Genomic DNA, 12,554 nt, shown 5'->3' on the forward strand with positions numbered 1-12,554 from the left:
ACATAACCGAGACTGGACAATTTACAAAAGAAAGAGGTTTAATTGGACTTACAGTTCCATGTAGCTGGGGAAGCCTCACAATCATGGTGGAAGGCAAGGTGGAGCAAGCCAAGTCTTACATGGATGGCAGCAGGCAAAGAGAGCTTGTGCAGGGGAGCTCCTCTTTTTAAAACCATCAGATTTCATGAGACATTCAGTATCATGAGAATAGCTTGGGAAAGACTTGCCCCCATGATTCAATTACCCGCCCCTCCACACCAGGTCACTCTCATAACACGTTAGGATTCAAGATGAGATTTGGGGGGGGACACAGCCAAACCATATCAGTTAGTAAGAAAGAGGCAATATTAAAAATTCTGCTGCCAATGCCACAGCCCAGAAGAATTGAACCACAATCTCTTGGTATGGAATATAGACATCAGTGTTCTAAAAAAACTCCCCAGGTGATTGCAGTGTTCCCCTTAGGCTCATTTAGAACAGTTAGTGCACCAGAAACATCAGCATCACCTGAGAACTTTATATTAGAGATGCAGATTCTCTGCCCTACTCCATCTGCTGAATCAGGAACTCTGGGGTTGGGGCCCAGCAGTCTGCGTTTTCACAGGAACCCTGGGTGATTCTGATGCTTCTTAGAGGTCAACCCCACTAGCATGACGTTTACAGGGATCTTCAGGATCCTTGAGGTTTTTTAGGGTGGGGGAATTCTAAGGGCATTTTAAGAACCTTAGAGTCATTTGGGTTATTTTAGGGTTGTTTATTGTCAACTTAGTGTGTGTATCCTGAGAAGGTACCAGTAGGCACCTGAGTGAACTATTTTTAAATTCAGTTTATTTGATAGTCATCTGAGTCAGCCCAGAAATCATGCTCACTGCCAGTGTCCTGGCCTCTATGGGAACGAAAGGCAGAGCAGCTCCTGAGCTCCTGGCTCAGGCCTCAGGCGCATGGGGTGGGCGGGGTGGGCTGGGGGAGCAGGAGTGTCCCATGTGCCCAGGCGGGACAAGGCACACATTTATCCAGAAGACACCAAGCAAAGGGCTTGGTTTGTGAATCAGGCACTGCATCTGGTACCCAATTCCTAATCAAGAGAACTTCAGAATATAAGAAACTGAAAGTAGAACTGTCTAACAGCACATTCTGGCTAACTTCAGGTTTCCAGGATTTATGGTGTGTATTTTTCTCTCCTTTTGAAAACTTTTGCATGTCCAGTTTCTGAAAGGAGAATTGAGAGTACAGATTGAAAATGTGTTTGGTGTCCAGGGTGACTGACTCTAAACACAGGGAATTTCCCAATTCCTCACATGAGGTCTCTAACCTCAGGCTCCCGCGTACTCGAGATGGCATGGCATGGTGACTGGTTTCCTCAAAGGCCTTGGAACTATTGACGCCATCCTTCCATTTTGCCTGTGTATTACATATGTGTGTATTTACATTACATATATATATGATTTTTGGTATATGGGACTGCATTTCCATTGCATAATGGGCCTCTTATTCTTCTAGGAATTCTGAAGTCTAGTGCTTAGAAAAACTGACCCTACCAGGGACACAAAGGCCTGACTGGCTTTAATCTTCTGGCCATTGTTGTTTTGTTGTTGTTGTTTTGTTTTGTTTTGTATGTGTTTATACGTTTTTGGATTCTCAATATTTTTGGAGTTACTAAGCAGGAAATTTTAATTTTAAAGCCAGTGTAATAGAAGCAGTAAGAAAATCTAATAGCACCACCCCAACATAACTTTTTTCATAAGCCTTTACATGTAGGCCTGCAATCATATTGAACATACTATTTTATTTACTTTACATAACAATATTTTCCATGTTTCTACATAAACTATTATGTAATTTCATTCTGAGTCTCACTCTGTCGCCCAGGCTGGAGTGCAGTGGCACAATCTTGGCTCACTGCAGCCTCCACCTCCCAGTTCAAGTGATTCTCCCGCTTCAGCCTCTTGAGTAGCTGGGATTACAGGCGCCCACCACCACGCCTGGCTAATTTTTGTATTTTTGGTAGAGACAGGGTTTCGCCAAGTCGGCCAGGCTGGTCTCAAACTCCTGACCTCAGGTGATCTGCCCGACTCGGCCTCCCAAAGTGCTAGGATTACAGGTGTGAGCCACCACGCCCAGCCTTCTACATAAACTTGATAATTACACTTCCAGTAGCAGAATAATATTCATGCTTACGGTTTTTATTTTACCTATACCATTATCACAAAGAAGGAGGAAAGCAAGGAAAAAAATGTACTTGGCTTTTTATTGGGATTACTTGAATGTTTAGATAATTTGGGGGAGATCTGTTAAATTTTCAATCCGTAAATGAGGTATATCTTCCCATTTTTTAATTTTATTTTTTAATCTTTTATTAGATTATACACCTAGAAATACATAGAAATACATTTTTATGTATCTTCCTTGTTTTAGCAACCTTGCAAAATTCATTTTATATTTCTAATAATTTATCTCTAGATTATTATGACCAACTTGAATTCAACTTTTATTTGTTGGTTTCTTTTAGTGGGTCATAGATGTCATAGTTCGCTTTTTTGCTTAGTGATTTTTGTGACAACTTGTGTTATAGTTAATATTTGGCTAAGGAACTTTAACGATTGAAGTTGAACACTACATTACGAAACGGGAACGGTTCCCTTTTCCCTCTCGCAGGGCGTGAGATAGGGACTGTGGCTCGCTTCTTCAGTGCCCTGCGGCTCAAACCTCTGAGGGACCATACAGACGGGCAGGCTGTGGGGCTCCGACCCCACACCAGTGTCCAGAGGGTGAATGTTTGCAGCTCCTAAGCCCCAGCGGGCATGTGTTACAGGGTGCTCTTTTAGTTTCGCCGTCCATAAGCCGCTTGTGTTAAGCAGCTCAATTAGACCCTCTACCTTGTCGCAAGGACAGAGGGCTTTCTGTATCCCGGTGTTCTTGCCTTGTGTACCGGAAAAATCGCATCACGGGTGAGCTTGGAGAATGAGTGCAAGGCTTTATTGAGTGGAAGTAGCTTTCAGCAGATGGGGGGAGGGGTGCCAGAAGGGAGATGATTTTCACCTGGAGTCAGGCCACTCGACCCCACGGGCTCTCCTCCAACTGCCCCAGCCAAACTCCATGCCCTTCTGCCAGTTCATGGCCTGCCAGCGTGCCAGTGCCCGCCGATGTGCTCCTCCCCACGTCCAGCCCCCAAGTGTTCCTCCGCTGACGTGCTCCTCTCGACTTTCAGCCGCTTCTGTCCCTGCCTTGCTAGGGTCTCGGGTTTTTATAGGCATAGGATGGGAGCATGAGAGGCCAGGGTGGTCTTGGGAAATGCAACATTTGGACAGCAAAGCAAAAATGCCTGTCCTCACCTAGGTCCGTGGGGGTAGAGCCCTAGCTAGGGACCACGCCCTCCTCTACCCAGCACTTCACTTCCCCACTTCTGTATCATTTAAAGGGACCATGCTCTTCCCTTCCCAGCACGTCTGTATCAATTAAGATCTTTCCTTGGGATCATTTTGGAATCAAGGCTCTTTGTAGTCCCAGACATTCAATATCCACAATGTGTGGGAGTTCTAAGTAGTTTGTTCCCAAAATTATACCCTAGACATCTCTGAGACATAATTACTTTCCATCAGCAAGACATACCCATGCTGTCATGTTCCATCTGTCCCAGTGTTTGGCACCAACTACCTTCTCAGAACCCCTGGGTTGTCCCAGGGAAGGATGTTGTAAGATACCCCACTCTCGGTGCTGTTGACCCCATAGATGGCTCTGCAGGTGAGGGTAGGTGGCATCAAGGGCAGCTTAGAGGGGCTTAGTGACTAGCAGGGGACATTCAAAGTCATGAATTATTGAGTTGTGGAAATTCCTTATGTATTTTGAACGTTAACCCCTTATCAGATACATGGTTTGCAAATATTTTCTTCCATTCTACAGGTTGTCTTTTCATTTCATTGTTTCCTTTGCTGTGCAGAAGCTTTTTAGTTTGATGTAGTCCCACTTGTTTATTTTTGCCCTTTTTTTTCTTTGAGATAGTGTATCTCTCTGTCACGCAGACTGGAGTGCATGTGATTTTGGCCCACCGCAACCGCAGCCTTCTGGGCTCAAGCGATCCTCCTACCTCAGCCTCCCGAGTAACCGGGACTACAGGTGCATGCCACCATGCCCAGCTAATTTTGGGGGGTATATTTTGTAGAGATGGGGTTTTGCCGTGTTGCCCAGGATGGTCTCAAACTCCTGTGCTCGAGCAATCCACCCACCTTACCCTTTCAAAATGCTAGGATTACAGGCATGAGCCATCACACCTGGCCTGTTTTTGCTTTTGTTGCCTGTGCTTTTTGTGTCATATCCTAAAAATCAGAGAACAAATGTTCAGTAACAAGGTAAGTTCTAGGGATCTAATATACAGTGCTGTGACTATAGTTAATAGTACTGTATTGTTTACTTGTAATTCACTAAGAAAGTAGATCTTTGACATTTTGGGCTGGATGAAGAAAAAAACAGTAGATCTGAAGTGTCCTGACATCACACACACATACACACACACACACACACACACACAATGGCAACTGTGTGATGATGGACGTGTTAATGTGATGTGGTAATCGTTTCACAATGTATATGCGAAATGTGTATGTACAACAATCATCAGGTTGTACACCTTGAATATATGTCATTTTTATTTGCCAGTTATGCCACAATAAAACTGAAAAATAAATACTTTTTAAATTAAAAAATAATAATATTCATGTTTATGGCTTATGAATTAGTAAGTCCAAGCTTAAAACTCCAATTAGAAAAATGTATCTTGCTCTAATGCAAGAACAATTAAATCGGGGTTAATAAAACACTGATACACAAAAATCCATATTATATTCTGCATTATGTCAAAACACATGTTTAGATTTCAGTTTTTCCTAAAGTTTAAACTTAACACTTAAATTCCAACTTATGGCTGCTGCTTAAAAACTTCTCATCAAAATTATGATAAGCTGCTCTTTGGCCAACTCATAGGGTGATCATATTTATCATCCATACTGGATCATTTTGAGAGTAAAAGGGGATGCTGTTAATAATTACATATAACCACAGAATAAAGTGGAAGTGTCCCAAGCAATCCAGGACTTATGGTCTCTGCCAGTGGGCCTACCTACCATTTTAAAACTTCTAAAGTTAACTTATACACTTATAAAGCATATACTTATAATTTATCACTTATATAAAGTTAACTTACTTATATAACATATACTGAAACTGTAAGTCACAATTTCTTTTTTGCATTATTTCTTCTTTTCTTCTTTCTGCCCCCATATGATCCGCAGAAAATTTTGCATGGTTTTAAACTAAAAATAGCAATGTTAATTTTACTCAAGTTCAGTTTTCAGCAGTGTTTTCTTGCATTTAAACATTTCAGCAACCTATTCAAATGTCTTCAAAACTTGACAGTGAAGTCTTGTACTCACAGCAAACTCCATTCAGTCATAGCCTCATTACCTAAAATAGATAATACCAAATTACTTCATAAAATCTGTTTCTATAAAACAAGCCAAGAACTGCCAGCACCTTTGGCAGAAGGCTATTAGAATTTTTTGGTTATTTTAGGCACTGTAACTCCTACAAGGCTTACTGCATTTTGGGGGGTCGTGGTTGGACTCCAGATGAACCATTTATCTTCAGTGTATATCACCTGCATCTACATGATGCACTGTACAAAAGTCTCACTACCTTGGAAGGGTTAACTGCTCATCTGTTTCACCCAACTTAAAAGCGGCAACTGAAAAGCTCTCTTTGAATTAAAAACTCTAAATATGGGAAATCGAAACAACACTCCAAGGGAACTGTGATTTATCCACACTTTCTTTCTGTCTCTCTCTCCCTCCTTCCCCATCTCTCTCTCTCTTTCATACTTATATATGCATTGTTTACAGAAGCATCATTAAAAATCTGGTCTTGGTTGTTACCTTCTTCTAGAGGCCAAATTATAATGGTCACTATTTCTGCTCCATGGCCAGGTTTCTTAGGAAGACAACCGTCAAATCTCATATTAAACTTTATGAACAAATGAAATTATTTCTGTGTATTAGTCAGGGTTCTCCAAAGATTGTGCGTGTGTGTGTGTGTGTGTGTGTGTGTGTGTGTGTGTGTGTGTAGAGAGAGAGAGAGAGGTGTGGGTGTGGGGAGACAGAGCTTAAGGAATTGGTTCACATAATTGATCCTGTAGTTCAAGTCCAAAGGCAGTCTTGAGGCAGAATTCCTTCTTCTCTGGGATCTCAGTCTTCGTTCTTAAGGCCTTCAACTGATTGGGTGAGGCCCACCCACATTATGGAGGGCAGACTGCTCAAAGTCCACTGATTTAAATGTTAATCTCAACTTAAAAAAAAAAAAAACAAATTCATAGTAACATCTAGTGTTTGACCAAATATCTGGGCTGTATGGCCTAGCCAAGTTGACATATAAAATTAGATATCATACCTTCCCCGTACCATAGGGTGGAACTTGGGCCCTAGTCTGAAAATCTCACACTTGGGGAGCCATGGGGGGATGCTTCCAACAGAAGCAAGCCCAGGTGCCCAACCCCTGCAGGGGGGCTTAGCCATTTTACAGGTGAGAAAACCAAGTCCTAGAGAAAGGATCATTGAGTTGGTCCCAGGGTCCAAGAGGAAGGGGTGGAGTGAGAGTGGAAATCCAGCCTCACTGAATAGAAGTTCCAAGCTCTTTCCTCCACAACTCCTGGCTCTCCAGAGCCCTCAACTGGCAGCTCCTAAGACAACCTTCTCATTTTACTTCCTATTTGGGACGTAACAGCCAGGCCCAAACATGTTCAAACCATAAACTTGGGGAAGAAAATTAACTTATCTGGTGGGTGCTCCTTCCTGTTCCTGTCACCCACCTTACAACCACCCTCTCACAACACAGAGCTCCCGCAGCCAGCAGTCACACACAGACCCATCCACGGGGCACATCTCTTTGAAAAGTGCTTTATTTCAGTAAGATCTAAGTCAGATGCATTAAAACATATCAAAATGTTACAAAAATGTATGGCTCCCTTGCTGAGGCCCTGTCAGATTATGTTAGATGAGTAAACGCATCAGTGTGTAAGTTCAGAACCAAACGTTGAATCAAGTCATGTACCATCGCTGAAAGGCAAGTTATAATTAAGAATACTTCACAAGGCTAAAACAATTGGGAAAACCCTTCAGAAACGCTAGCAATTACACACCAGAAACATCAGCCTGGAAACAGGTCTGCGATCTGCAGGGAAGACTCCAAAGGTAAACTGAGGGTTTCCCACCACAGCTTGTGCATCTTGTGCTCAGTTAAATACAGTTAAAACACAAGGGGCGCTTCAACACCCCCCTTGTGATAGGGCAGAGCTTTCTATTACATCTGGAAGAAGGGGGCGCCACATTCATTCTTATTTTTACATCTCTAGGAAATCATATCTCATCTCATCTGAGCGAAGCAAGACTTTGTGCAAAACGATTTAAGTGGAAACGTGAAAATGTGTGCTGCTATATCAGGGACGCTTATGGTGATCTCCTGTCTCCTATCTCATTCTTCACGTCATGGTTTGGCCGCTGTAAGACACTGAAATTGCCTTGTTCATGTAGAAATTTCTCTTTTGGCTGGGCACAGTGGCTCACGCCTGTAATCCCAACACTTTGGGAGGCCTAGGCGGGTGGATCACGAGGTCAGGAGTTCAAGACCAGCCTGGCCAAGATGGTGAAACCCCACCTCTACTAAAACCACACAAAAAAATTAGCCGGGCGTGGTGGCGGGTCCCTGTAATTCCAGCTACTTGGGAGGCTGAGACAGGAGAATCACTTGAACCCCAGAGGCGGATGTTGCAGTGAGCTGAGATCCCACCACTGCACTCCAGCCTGGGAAACAGAACCAGACTCTGTCTCAAAAAAAAAAAAAAGAAAGAAAGAAACCTCTCTCGGCGATGTATCTGTGACACCACATTCTCTGTGCTACAGAGCTTTGACATAAAACATGGTTTTTGGTTGTTTTGTTGTTGGTGGTGGTTTCTTTAAAGAGAATTCCCTTTTCTTAAGAGAGCTTCTTGCTCTTCTGTGGCCAATTTCTTCACTCTCCTGACACTTTGAAGTAACCACTCAACTCCACAGACTTCTTGTTGAGACTTTTTTGCATGGAAAACAGATATTTTGGGGGGGGCATTATATGCTACCGATATTAGGATAAAATGTGTTTACCTAGAGGTTTCTAGGAGAGAGTACTGTTCTCTTCTGGTGAGGGAAGAGAGGATTGTGAAAATATTTCTCCTTGAAGCATCAGCATGTCTCAGATCAAAATCTTGACCCGAGGCCTCAGCATTTTTCTTGCAGATGGGTGACTAATATCCAGAAATCCTCTTGCCTCAACTCAACTCCAAGTTGAAGTCCATCCAGCCTTGTGCACGTTCTTCACCAATACGTACAGGGAAGACTATCTTTTGTGCTTTTCAGCCTCTCCCCAAGATAATCCCCACCCCCTGCCATTTAAGTCATCACCTTCCCTCTCATGTGATCACAGAGAATGTGACCTTGTGCTTAATTCCACCATCCCAGCCAGATAGGCTCAGGTTTTTCCTTCACTTGATCACCTTGTAACATAAGCCCCTCCCGGGGTGGGGGTGGTGGGGAGACAGATGCAGCTAAACTGCTTTTCACAAGTTGGAAAAAAAACCCAACCCTATAAACTGGTCTTTTGTCCTTTACACAATTTCAGGTTCATTGCACGCAATTACATAAACTCCCACAAATCGGTCGAAGAGTTCAAAACTGCAAGACCATGTGATACCAGTGAGAAAATCTGCTCCACACTGTGGCAAAGTGTCTCTGTTTCAACTGCTGCTATTTCAAAGAACCCTTCCAAAATTTCTGATCAGGTTCTTAGGACGTGAGAAATGACCTCTCAAGAGGGCAGGACAAAATGGAAAAGTGTGGTCTGCATTACGTGGAAGTGTGTTGTGTGAGATGGGATCTCCTCTCACTTCCACCTCCTGACCTCCCATCTTTAAAAAGCTGAGTCTGCCTTAGTATCGCTCCCTTGGAAAGTGATCTGGCCAACTGGACATGTTGCAGTATTTCCCCATCTAACACTATCGTAGTGCTAGTGCAAATCAAAGAGAACTCTTATAAGCCAGAAATCGCTGTCCAGTAAGAGCTAGTGGTTAGTAGTTTGCTTTGTGGAAATTCTTCTCCCAAGTCCTCCAAGGAGAATTACTGGGGCCAACTAAGGCCCTGAACATTCAAAATAAAAATTACCAGAAGAGAAGTTCTCCAAATCATTTTCTCAATTGCAAAACTCAGGAGGTGTTTGCATTCACAGAACTGTTCTTTCCCAGCTGTAACAAAGGAAGCCTCTCCCGGTGGCTACTCTTTGTCTTCTTACCCCAGTTCTGTGCAGCTTGCAGAAGCCCTTCTGGGCTTCCACTCCATGCCCCACAGGGCTGGTGCTGCTGTCCCTATGGAGGAAGGAGACTTGCTATAAAACCCTTGGCGAAATGCCAGGGGCCGCATGCCATCTTTCTGCAGTCTACGTTAAGACCACAGCTGTGAGCCTTCTCAAGAAGCCATAGGTATGAATCGGGGGCAGGAGGGTGCCCAGGGCAGAAACGTCTCCACCAAAAAAGTCCACCTTCCTTTGGAGGCACCAACCAGGGGCTGTCCTTTCCTCAACTGCCCAGCTCTGCAAACATTCTGTGGAGAGAAGGTGGAGAAGAGATGGGCAGTGCCTCTACCCCAGCTAGGCTCAAAGACGCCTGCTATCAGGAGCTCCTGATCTTGCTTGGTCAATCTCCATAGCCAGGCACCCAGGTCCAAGCATCTGTCTCCCTCCTCAAACGATATCAGCTGCACTGATGCCCAGCTGCCTGTCAAGCTTCCTGATAGGAGTCCCAGGGCACAGACTGTTCTTGCCCTTTTCTCCCATTGGGGTTGGATTTAAAGATCACATAGGTGGCTGCTCAGAGGAGCTGAGGAGAAGCTCCATCCTCCCCATGCACCTTCACCAGGTGGCCTAAAGAGCTTCCCTGAACCCCACACTCAGTAGCAAGATGAGGCTTCATTCTTGGAATGCATCTCCACACACAAGGTGAGGGCAACTTGCAAGAACCCAGAGGTTGGAAAGAATGGTCTTGACTGCAAACATCGCCCCAGCTTCAAGTGCAGGAAGACCTTTGATGACATGAAGATGGGCTGCGTTCAAGGCACCTGTCATATCTGCAGGTAGCCTCGACATTTCCCTTCAACCTGAAACTTCCTGGCCACCAGGCCACCAGGCCCTGGCCACACTAGCTGGTCAGCACTGTGTACGCACCAGCGAGATCTTTGTTTCTTGAGACATTTCCTTCCACTCAAGGAAGCGCCATAGAGACAGGCTGTCAGCTGGGTACAGAGAAACACACAGGATCTTCTCTGTCTCCTAAAGGTAGCCATGGAGGCAGAGATGGAGGCAGAATCCACTCTTCACAGGTTTCCACATAGAACATCACATATGTCTTTGTCATTTAAAACAATCAACGTTTCCAGTGTAAAAATACGTGGGCTTATTGCATCTACCCCACGGATGGTTTATCTTTTTCTTTCCATCAGACTTGCCGCAAGGTTATGTGGCTGTTATTTTGTTAATTTCCAAGGCTCTTACATTCACTGATCCTTCTAGGCATACAGGGAGAATTTCTACCAACATATAAACAACCCAAATGGTGAACCTGGAGAACCCTCTTCCCTCTCTAAACACAGACAGACGTGTGGCTGCTCCCTGGCACTTGAGAGGAGAAATCTTTCCTTCAACCTAAATACCACTCAGATCAGTGGCTCCTCTGATTTTCCTGCTCACGAGCAGCACATGTGCCAAGCTCACGGCTCTTGTGCTGGTTGCCTGGAATTTAATTACATGTGAAAGTATCAGGTAGGCACATGGACACGTACCATGTGTGCACACACATGTACACACACACATTTTGGGTCCTCCTTATAACTAAAATCAAAAGTCCTTGTGAGCAGAAAAAAGGAGGGCAGGGGTCCAGGGATAGGGAGCTGTCTGCTGACTTCTACATCCAGCTCCAGGTAGCAAATGATGGCTTGGCCGGAGCTGGGGAGGTTTGTGTCTAAATGTTTCCATGGAAAGAAAGTGCCTAGCTTCCTGGGGGTCTTATGGGCAATGGCGGTTCCTGGGGTGCCCAGATCCCCTCGTTCTCATGGCTCAGATTGTTGCTGGGGTCTCGGCTATCTCCTCCAGCCTCTGTCGAATCATTAGCCGGAGCACGGTGTACCTGGAGACAAGAAACAGGCTCAGATGGAGAGCAGCCAGCAACACACCCCTGCCCAGGACCTTCCCGGCCACCTGGGTAACACCAAGGTCACACCAGGTAACAGTGCAGTCAAGTGCCCTGCTCCTTTGCTTCCATTACTGACCCCTCTTTAGCTACTTTGTTGCTTATGTTCATTCCTACAACACGATGAGAGGAAATAAAGAGGCCAAATCCAAATTAGATTATTTTACTATGGGTAGAACATCTAGCCAAAAAAAAAAAAAAAAAAAAAAAGGTAAAAAAAAACAACAGCAATAATAAGCATTCTACGAATTCAGTGCGTTTGCTTACTATGTCCAAGACACTATGCATAGTACTTCATATGCACAGCAGCTCATGAACCCTCACCTAGGCTAGATGATATAAAATTGCTAACAGTTGACCCTCTTGGGGATCCTACAAAAATGGCAACTTCGTATGGTTCAACCTTATAACAGAACCTGCATTTTGCAGAAGAGGCCATAGCAGCTACTAGGCGTGGAGGTCCGTGGCTTGGGGGGAGTTCTGTTTTCCCACGACTTCCCTGAGCCGTGGCACTGCAGCTGCAGGAGTGGGCACTGTTGTGCAGGGATCAATGGACATATTCCTTATGTTCAGGGATTTGTGCTGCACAGAAAAAGCTATTTTTAAAGTTTAGGACATAGTTGGCTGGGCATGGTGGCTCACGCCTGCAATCCCAGCACTCTGAGAGGCCGAGGAGGGTGGATCACTTGAGGTCAGGAGTTCAAGACCAGCCTGGCCAACATGGCAAAACCCCGTCTCTACTAAAAATACAAAAAAAAAAAAAAAAAAAGAAAGAAAGAAAAAAATAGCTAGATATGGTGGCGCATGCCTGTAATCCCAGCTACTGGGGAGGCTGAGACGGGAGAATCACTTGAGTCTGGGAGGTAGAAGTTGCAGTGAGCCGAGATCGCATCTCTGCACTCCAGCCTGAGCAACAGAGCAAGACTCTGTGTCAAAACAAAACAAAACAACAACAACAACAACAAAAACTTTAGGACATAGTAAGTGTTCAGTGTGTTATCAGACTAGTTATGATCATCGATACAGCAAATCCAGCAGCGGCTTTATTCTCCAGTGGCAAAAATGAATCATTAATTCCACCATATCTATGAAAGGCAGTCTCTTCTATGACTAAACATAGCAAAGAAATCACAAAATCCTTCCCAGAAAGCCGCTTTATTTTTCAATCCAAATGCAATTTCCAGAAGATAAATGTTACAAAGGGAGGAAGGGGGAGAGGAGAGGATTTTGGAGGCCAGTAGCTCAG

The 12,554-nt window shown here is 44.4% G+C and overlaps 1 protein-coding gene and 1 long non-coding RNA gene across 16 annotated transcripts in view, besides 1 other annotated feature; both read right to left on the bottom strand.

Annotated features, from left to right (window-relative positions):
• Nucleotides 1-4,619: 4,619 nt before the first annotated feature.
• On the bottom strand, nucleotides 4,620-6,254 carry LOC105372511 (uncharacterized). The gene is made up of 2 exons (XR_937215.3): nucleotides 5,591-6,254; nucleotides 4,620-5,457 (listed from the first exon to the last, which is right to left on the bottom strand). It is a non-coding gene; the product is annotated as an uncharacterized LOC105372511 (long non-coding RNA).
• Nucleotides 6,255-6,925: 671 nt separating this feature from the next.
• Nucleotides 6,926-12,554, bottom strand: part of RASSF2 (Ras association domain family member 2) — a 43,586-nt gene continuing 37,957 nt past the window's right edge. For all 15 annotated transcript variants that reach the window (XM_017028153.2, XM_017028149.2, NM_014737.3 and 12 more), the window contains one exon: nucleotides 6,926-11,245. In XM_017028153.2, the coding sequence (XP_016883642.1) occupies nucleotides 11,176-11,245 (70 nt within the window). In that variant the 3' untranslated portion in view covers nucleotides 6,926-11,175. The remainder of the gene's footprint in view (nucleotides 11,246-12,554) is intronic.
• Nucleotides 7,209-7,427: a silencer, noted in NCBI's record as "fragment chr20:4760952-4761170 (GRCh37/hg19 assembly coordinates)". NCBI's record gives its function as "represses an EF-1alpha promoter that drives an FKBP-Casp9 reporter gene in an ReSE screen in K562 erythroleukemia cells {active_cell/tissue: K562}" and the evidence as "EXISTENCE:reporter gene assay evidence [ECO:0000049][PMID:32094911]".

This window comes from Homo sapiens, chromosome 20 (genome assembly GCF_000001405.40).
Source record: "Homo sapiens chromosome 20, GRCh38.p14 Primary Assembly".
Classification (NCBI taxonomy): Eukaryota; Metazoa; Chordata; class Mammalia; order Primates; family Hominidae; genus Homo; species Homo sapiens.